At 44.0% G+C, this 9,593-nt stretch overlaps 1 annotated feature.

Moving 5' to 3' along the window:
• Window positions 6,325-7,524: an enhancer, noted in NCBI's record as "CDK7 strongly-dependent group 2 enhancer chr7:49705354-49706553 (GRCh37/hg19 assembly coordinates)". NCBI's record gives its function as "activates an origin of replication core promoter dependent on BRD2, BRD4, P300/CBP, MED14 and CDK7 cofactors, with strong dependence on CDK7, by STARR-seq in HCT116 cells {active_cell/tissue: HCT116}" and the evidence as "EXISTENCE:reporter gene assay evidence [ECO:0000049][PMID:35650434]".

The following is a 9,593-nucleotide window of genomic DNA, read 5'->3' as shown; positions in this document are numbered from 1 at the left end:
ATTTGGTAGAGTCGGAGCCTGTATCTCTTTTGCTCTGCAACTGTTTTATGAGAAACTCCTGAAATATGCTCCTGTAAATTTGAAATTTTAAATAGAGTGACCTATTCATAGGTTTATAATATGAATGGTATATACCAGTTTATAATACAAAGGAAGAGCTCTTGCCCCCTTCCTCCCCACATACTTTCATACTTTCTCTCAATCTGCGGGAGGGCTATTTTTCTTTTTCTTTTCTTTTTCTCTTTTCTTTCTTTCTTTCTTTTTCTTTTTCTTTTTTTTTTTTTTTGAGACAGAGTTTCGCTCTTGTTGCCCAGGCTGGAGTGCAATGGCGCGACCTCGGCTCACCGCAATCTTCGCCTCCCAGGTTCAAGAGATTCTCCTGCCTCGGCGTTCTCAGTAGCTGGGATTACAGGCATGCACCACCACTTCTGGCTAATTTTGTATTTTTAGTAGAGACGAGGTTTCTCCATGTTGGTCAGGCTGGTCTTGAACTCCTGACCTCAGGTGATCTACCCACCATGGCCTCCCAAAGTGCTGGGATTACAGGCATGAGCCACTGCACCCGGCCTGGGCTATTTCTTTAAACCCATATTTTCAAAGTCTTCTGGGAGCTGATTCTATCTCTACTATTTATTTAATTATTGATTAATTGATTGATTTCGCACTTATATAGTGACCTCCTGCCAAGGCCTCAAGGCCCCCTAAAGTATCTTCAAGTGACTTAGAAAAGGCTGGTGCCTGAGTGCACAGCTTAGTAATCAGACGGGGGCTGGACTCAGTCCCACTGGGTGATGATCTCTGGGCAAGTCACAACAACAGTAGCTATGTGTGGCACCTCCACTTCAGATTATGCTGGACAAGGAATGGGCCTTTCTTTCTTCAGCCCCTCCCGATTCTCTTGGGTTGTCAGAGACAACCCAAGATGTACTTGGTTACACTTGATACCTCTTGCTAGTAATTCCTGATCTTGGCCCACCCTCGTTCTGTTTAAGTCATCATGCCAAGATCTGGAGAACCCAATCCTTCCAGAGTGTTTAAACTTAACATGCACCCTATTTTGACTTTGGAACAAAGTCATGCACACACTAACCCAAAGAAATGCTTTCTTTAAACAGACATGCCTACAATCCTCCTGGCGTATGACTTCCAGGAAGTAAGTTGCATTGAATCAAATTTTGCTATGGGCACCAACAGATTCATTTGAGGTACAAATTTTGTCAGGTTATGGTATGAGTATTAGAATAAGACTGTAATTTTTGTTGCTCTGGTTTAATTTATGACTCAAGACCAGTAGCTGTTGCATCGGATTAAAGGGTATTAGCAAGAGCTCAGTGGACCTTACAAATAAGGTCTGCCATTTTCTGTAGAGTATAAAATGTTCTCTGATCTGGGCCCAAACAAAATCATACAGAGTTGTATTATTGAGAAAGAAAATGAAACACCAAAATTTTATATGGATCAAGATCAATGGGTCCTGAAAACAGCTTTTCAGAGTATTTAATTAGTTTGATAGGAACCATCCACAATTCTCTAAATTTCCATCACTGAGGAAAAAATACAATATTCCTTTGTTTACCATGGTCTTTGAAAGCAGAACAAAGAGAGAATCCACTTAGATTGCCTTAATACCTTTATTTTCCAACATTATAAAAGACAATCTCATTTGTACCCAAAATAATAGTGGCTGGCACATGTGCACTGTTTGCCAGGCATTCTTCTAAGCTTATATATATATTGGCTTGTTTAAGGAATTCAGCTTAGCCAGACCATAAGAAAATTGGAATCTGAAGTCTTCATTTGTATCTTCCAGGATTGCATGGTATTTTAAATTTCTGCTTCTCCTTAGTTCCTGAGAACTGGAAAATTAGGATGCACAGACTCCTTTTCTTTGTATCTTTTAGGGGTTGCATAATATCGCTCATGTGTGTTACACATTAATTTTCCTCCTAACCCTTTCCTGTTTGCACATGGCCAGAGATGACCTGCCCAGAGGCGGCTTCATAGGAGAGATCAGCTCCTGGGAGTGGAATCTGAGCACTTTAGCTCACTCTATGGGTTGGTCTGAGTCAGAGGTCTTCCCTGTGTCCAGTAGACTGTGGTGACATCTGTATGAGTCATGAGGTACAATCTTTACCAGAGACCATCCTGAAGTGATTTCAGACTTGGAGAATGGGCTGTCAGTCGTCCCAAATCACATCTAGGAACCTTGAAGAATGGGGCCTCTGCAAGAGGAGGTGGGCTGGGTCTTCTTGGTGAGTTTTGCAGCCAACGTCTGCCAGGATGGTGTGTGGTAATGGTGAGCCAGGCAAGGCCGGGGTGGAGCCTCTGTCCACTGCTAGGAGGCTGCAGATTCCTGAAGGTTCTTCCAGACGTGCCTCTAGATCTCCCCATCATTCCTGTTGGAGTTGATTTCTAACTGTTCCCTCTCTTTTCACATCTCTCTCCTCTACACCTCAGACAGAATTACCCTTCATAAATACACATTGATCCTATGGATTTACTATTAAAACTTCATTCATTGATCCCCATGGCTTGCAGCAGCAGCGTTTACGGGGTGCCAGGTACACTGGTCAGTGTGACCCAGTTGGCGAGCTGGTAGGAGGGGGCTGTAGGTGCCACCGCTAAAGGGCAGGAAGCGCCATCGCGGCGCCTTATCCCTGGGCTCCAGCTCTGGGGAGTTGGAGTCACTGAGGGAAACCGAGGGAGGCTGGCCTGAGGAATTCTCACCGTGGCGCCTCCTCTCCAGCCGCGGCCCACCTTCTGCTTCAATTCGCCTCCTGTCAGCCTTAATATTCTCTCCCGGTCTAGACACCATTTCCTGAAAGTCCCCCTCATCCCTCCCTTGTTTATGTTCTTTTCTGTGACCTAAAATGCTCTTGCACACCCTCCTTCCCAGCCTGCAGAGACTCGTCTTTATGAATCTCATCTTGTTTCTTGGCGCAGCTTCCCTTTTCCCATCTGGCACGGGAAGCCGGCTGCTCCTCCTGGTTTCTCTGTATTGGACACGTATTGATCACAGCGCTCAGTGTTGCTTAGTGAGGCCTCTGTTCCTCCCACCTCACCGCGGACTCCTGGAAGGTGGTGAGCATTTCTATTCATCTTCCTTTCCACAGGCTGCACTCAGCCTTCCTGGGCACACTTTTCTGCTGAGACTCAGAAGTCTGAGTGCTTGGCTTGCAGGTGCTTGGCCATCCTCTCTGTTCTCCGCCGCCCTTCCTCACTCTCCTTGATTGATCCCTGGGCCGCCGCTTGCTTCAGCTCCTTGTGTTCGTTAGTGAGTCGAGGCTGTGGTGGAGTCTGGAGGTGCTGAGCCGCTCTGGGACTTTGGAAAGGCTCCTGGAACATCTCCACTTAGCATTTTCACACCATCACGATGATCTGTCAGCACTATTATCTCCACCACGGGATGACGAGGTGTCCTGACTTGCCCTGAACTTTCCTGATCGGACTGAGGAAACCTCTCAGGCCTGGGCAAACCGGGATGTTCAGTGTCGGTAAATTAGAACCTGGATTCCTCCATGGCAGGGCTCTACGTGTTTTATCTTTTAATCCCTGTAAAGTAGTATGGCACTGGAACAGAGGAAATGCTCACTAAATGTTTGCTGAGTGAATGAATGAATGGATTAATTGCAAAAGGCTGAACAACAGCTAGGAAAAAAAAAACAAACAAACAAGATTCAAGCTGCTGATTAGATGGCGCTGACTATGAGGGTAGGTTTTCCCAGCAGCCCTCCTGGTGCAGCTGCAGCCAAAGCTTTAACCTAGAAGCATGCATTTCAATGCTAATGCTTCATGGTGTTGTATGATTCCCAGGGAAGAGCAAACACTGGTGCTGAGTAAGCTGCCCACTTTTGTGTCTATTGCATTTTAAGTAGGAAGCCAAGAACAGAGGCAGGATGCTCTGAGGACACAAGCTAAGCCTGCTTCTAGCTCTCAGCTGCCTGTTACTCACTTCTTGCCTTAATATTGATTTCATTTATTTTACTCCCAGATTTGTGGCAATATAATTTCAATAGATAGTTTACTATTCAGCAATGGTCCTTGTAACCATAAAAAAATCTCTATTTCATTGTCGATTTTTCCAGGCTTATAGTTCGGGGCTGTGGATCTGATGATGTGGTGTCTTATGTGAGGGGGTCGAAGATCATTCCTTACAATGCTTGGACCCATCTGCACACCAGTTGTTTATTTGAAACGTTTGCCAGATTAACAAATACCTACTTGAGCCTCTTCTGGGCCAGGAATTGTCTTTGGTTAAATGCCCTCCCTGAGAAACCAAGCTTAAGGGCTCCTGACCCAGGTTGGGTTAGGGGTGGGAGACACCTAGACCAACTGTGTGGGGAGCGTGGAGCCTGAGAGAAGGATCCAGGAGGCCATATGGGAGAAACGAAGCTCAGTAAAGTCATGAATATGAGGACACTAGGCAGACAGGGACCAGAGGGAAATTAAGGAAATCATTGCAAGTCAGAAGTTTCAAAGTCAGGGTTGGAAACAGCACCTGGAGAAATTCCCTGATGACCCGAAAGAGAGAATCTAAAGCTGCCTGTTTATTCCTGGGCAGAAAGGGAGCCAGTGTGGACCAGTGCAGCCTGGCTGCTCTCTACCTCTCCTATCGCTGGGAAGACCCGTTCAGCAGACCAGCCTGGAGCTGTGGCTTAGGCAATCCTCAGATGTGAGTCCTGCCTCAGACCCTTCCACAAATGATTTAATATCATGAAGCCTCAGTTTCATCAGGTATAAAATTAGGTGAGGATCAGGCTGTCCTGGGCAGTTTGGGGGATCATTAAGTGAAAGAATTTATACAGGCAATAAAGGACTAGCTTGGTCATAGTTGTGTGTTGTCATTCATTTGAGAACCTCTTTGGATGACTTCGGGTTCAGCACACAATGAAATGTGAACCTGTGAATCAGCCCCTTAACATATACTCATGCTTTCTGGGAGCTCCCTGCAGAGGTATAGTTCCCTGTGATCAAGGGCAAGCAATCTACTAGTCACCGTAGGAAAAATACTTAGGTAACCACAGTAAAAACTAAAACCTGCAAAGTGCTAATAGCTAGAAGTATAGCTAAAATAACATTGAGTTTTAAAGGAGGGAGAGATTTGTTGTATGTTTCATTTCCCAGGCTGAGATGTCTTCACAGAAAAATCTGGGGGATGTCTAGAGAGGTAATAATTGGACCGGTGATTCTCAACTTGGCTGCCACATGTGGGAATTTTTAGATATTAAATATGCTTGGTTCTACCTCCAACCTACTGGTTTGGGGTGGGGCAGGGCCATGTGCATGACAGAGCTCTACACAGCTCTCATGCCCATCAGGAGCACACATGTGGGTCTGATGCATGGAGAGGTTTGGTTTTGGTGCACGTAACTAGAAGTTATAGAAAATAAGGAATTGTAGGTGAGGGCATACTGCAGCCTGCTCTGAAGCCTGTGTAAAGAGGTTTAAGTGTCTGTCAATGGATTTTGGGAAGCAGAGTTGCATGACTAGACCTAAACTTTACCAAGCCCCTCCTAGATGCAGAGGGTACATGTTTAGAGGCTGCAGAGGTATCCCAGGTGATACATGAAAAGTTCTCAATTTAGTGAGTGGGATAATATGGGACTAGAAGTGGGAAACAGGCATCCTTCTGGAGAGGCAGTTTGAGGTTCTTAAGTGTCCATTCACCTTATAAACATTACTGTGCACTGTGCTATCAGCAGGCACTGCACTTTCAGCACTGTGCTAGGGGCTGGGTGTATATGCAGTGAAGAAGCTACAGTGGCTGCCTTCATGATGCTTACACTGCATTAGCATCCTATTTACTGGAAAAAATTGTCACACATGTGATGGCTTCAAACAATACAAATTTATGATCTTATAGTTCTGGAGGTTAGAAGTGTGAAATAGGTCATAGAAGGCTAAAATCAAGGTGTGAGCAGGGCTGCGTCCTTCTGGAGGCTCCAGAGAAGAACTGATAACCTTTATTTCCAGCTTCCAGAGGCTGTCTGTATGGCTGGCTTGTGGTCCCTGCCTCTGTCTTCAAGGTCAGCAATGGGGGTGAGTCTCACACCACGCCACTCTAACATTGACTCTTCTGTCTCTCCCATCCACATTTAAAGGATGCCTGAGATTCCATTGGCTTTGCTTAGATGATATTGGGTAATTTTCTTATCTTAAAGTCAGTGGATTACTAACCATAATTCCATTTGCAAACTTAATTCCCCTTTACCATATGTCATCATATGTTCACAGATTCTGAGGATAATGCATGGACGTCTCTGAGGAGGCACTCTTCTGCCCATCATGCACTGTGCTGAGGGAAGCCAGATGACAAGATAAACAGATACATGAATTGCATGCATTTCTGTATATATGTGCATTTGTATACATACATAACTTCACATCAAGAAATGCATATTGACAGAAGCAAAGAAAATGCTGTAATGGAGAATAAAATGGAGAACAAGTCTGTTGGAAGAGGAGACATCTGTGCTGAGAACTGAAAGAGAATACAATCTCTCTTCCAATTTCTCTTCTCTAAGAAAATAGCTTTATGGTTTATACTCATAAGATTGTTTTGAGGATTGAATGATGTGAATGATGTAAATGATGTAACAATTTTTACAGAACATCTAGTAGTATCACTGATGATTCCCCAATGCTTACAATAGTTTCTTCACAGCGGTGGCTGCAGAACAGCGGTGGCTGTAGAACAGCGGATTTTGGTGACCCGCAAATGCTGCTGCCTGATCATTCCTCTGGAAGTTTTGTCTCAGAGGAGTACCCAGCCGTGTGAGGTGTCAGTCTGCCCCTACTGGGGGGTGCCTCCCAGTTAGGCTGCTCGGGGGTCAGGGATCCACTTGAGGAGGCAGTCTGCCCATTCTCAGATCTCCAGCTGCGTGCTGGGAGAACCACTGCTCTCTTCAAAGCTGTCAGACAGGGACATTTAAGTCTGCAGAGGTTACTGCTGTCTTTTTGTTTGTCTGTGCCCTGCCCCCAGAGGTGGGGCCTACAGAGGCAGGCAGGCCTCCTTGAGCTGTGGTGGGCTCCACCCAGTTCCAGCTTCCGGGCTGCTTTGTTTACCTAATCAAGCCTGGGCAATGGCAGGCGCCCCTCCCCCAGCCTCGCTGCTGCCTTGCAGTTTGATCTCAGACTGCTGTGCTAGTAATCAGCGAGACTCCGTGGGCATAGGACCCTCAAGGCCAGGTGCGTGATATAATCTCCTGGTGCGCCGTTTTTTAAGCCCGTTGGAAAAGCTCAGTATTAGGGTGGGAATGACCCGATTTTCCAGGTGCCTCTGTCACCCCTTTCTTTGACTAGGAAAGGGAATTTCCTGACCCCTTGTGCTTCCCAGTGAGGCAGTGCCTTGCCCTGCTTCGGCTCGCCCACGGTGCACTGCACCCACTGTCCTGCATACCAGAGTCTCTGGGACACATTCAAAGCAGTGTGTAGAGGGAAATTTGTAGCACTAAATCCCCACAAGAGAAAGCAGGAAATATCCAAAATTGACACCCTAACATCACAATTAAAAGAACTAGAAAAGCAAGAGCAAACATTCAAAAGCTAGCAGAAGGCAAGAAATAACTAAAATCAGAGTGGAACTGAAGGAAATAGAGACAAAAAAAACCCTTCAAAAAAGTAATGAATCCAGGAGCTGGTTTTTTGAAAAGATCAACAAAATTGATAGACCACTAGCAAGACTAATAAAGAAGAAAAGAGAGAAGAATCAAATAGACCCAATAAAAAATGATAAAGGGGATATCACCACTGATCCCACAGAAATACAAACTACCATCAGAGAATACTACAAACACCTCTACCCAAATAAACTAGAAAATCTAGAAGAAATGGATAAATTCCTAGACACATACACCCTCCCAAGACTAAACCAGGAAGAAGTTGAATCTCTGAATAGACCAATAACAGGCTCTGAAATTGAGGCAAAAATTAATAGCTTACCAACCAAAAAAAAGTCCAGGACCAGATGGATTCACAGCCGAATTCTACCAGAGGTACAAGGAAGAGCTGGTAACATTCCTTCTGAAACTATTCCAATCAATAGAAAAAGAGGGAATCCTCCCTAACTCATTTTATGAGGCCAGCATAAATGATACCTGATACCAAAGCCTGGCAGAGACACAACAAAAAAAGAGAATTTTAGACTAATACCCTTGATGAACATTGATGCAAAAATCCTCAATAAAATACTGGCAAACGGAATCCAGCAGCACATCAAAAAGTTTATCCACCATCATCAAGTGGGCTTCATCCCTGGGATGCAAGGCTGGTTCAACATACACAAATCAATAAATGTAATCCAGCATATAAACAGAACCAAAGACAAAAACCACATGATTATCTCAATAGATGCAGAAAAGGCCTTTGACAAAATTCAACAACCTTCATGCTAAAAACTCTCAATAAATTAGGTATTGATGGGACGTATCTCAAAATAATAAGAGCTATCTATGACAAACCCACAGCCAATATCATACTGAATGGGCAAAAACTGGAAGCATTCCCTTTGAAAACTGGCACAAGACAGGGATGCCCTCTCTCACCACTCCTATTCAACATAGTGTTGGAAGTTCTGGCCAGGGCAATTAGGCAGGAGAAAGAAATAAAGGGTATTCAATTAGGAAAAGAAGAAGTCAAATTGTCCCTGTTTGCAGATGACATGATTGTATATCTAGAAAACCCCATTGTCTCAGCCCAAAATCTCCTTAAGCTGATAAGCAACTTCAGCAAGTCTCAGGATACAAAATCAATGTACCAAAATCACAAGCATTCTTATACACCAATAACAGACAAACAGAGAGCCAAATCATGAGTGAACTCCCATTCACAATTGCTTCAAAGAGAATAAAATACCTAGGAATCCAACTTACAAGGGATGTGAAGGACCTCTTCAAGGAGACGTACAAACCACTGTTCAATGAAATAAAAGAGGATACAAAGAAATGGAAGAACATTCCATGCTCATGGGTAGGAAGAATCAATATTGTGAAAATGGCCATACTGCCCAAGGTAATTTACAGATTCAATGCCATCCCCATCAAGCTACCAATGACTTTCTTCACAGAATTGGAAAAAACTACTTTAAAGTTCATATGGAACCAAAAAAGAGCCTGCATTGCCAAGTCAACTCTAAGCCAAAAGAACAAAGCTGGAGGCATCACGCTACCTGACTTCAAACTATACTACAAGGCTACAGTAACCAAAACAGCATGGTACTGGTACCAAAACAGAGATATAGGCCAATGGAACAGAACAGAGACCTCAGAAATAATGTCGCATATCTACAACCATCTGATCTTTGACAAACCTAACAAAAACAAGCAATGGGGAAAGGATTCCCTATTTAATAAATGGTGCTGGGAAAACTGGCTAGCCATATGTAGAAAGCTGAAACTGGATCCCTTCCTTACACTTATACAAAAATTAATTCAAGATGGATTAAAGACTTACATGTTAGACCTAAAACCATAAAAAGCCTAGAAGAAAACCTAGGCAATACCATTCAGGACATAGGCATGGGCAAGGACTTCATGTCTAAAACACCAAAAGCAATGGCAACAAAAGCCAAAATTGACAAATGGAATCTAATTAAA

This window comes from Homo sapiens, chromosome 7 (genome assembly GCF_000001405.40).
Source record: "Homo sapiens chromosome 7, GRCh38.p14 Primary Assembly".
Taxonomy (NCBI): Eukaryota; Metazoa; Chordata; class Mammalia; order Primates; family Hominidae; genus Homo; species Homo sapiens.
Note: the sequence above shows the minus strand (reverse complement) of the source record. Positions and strands in the feature narration are given on the sequence as shown.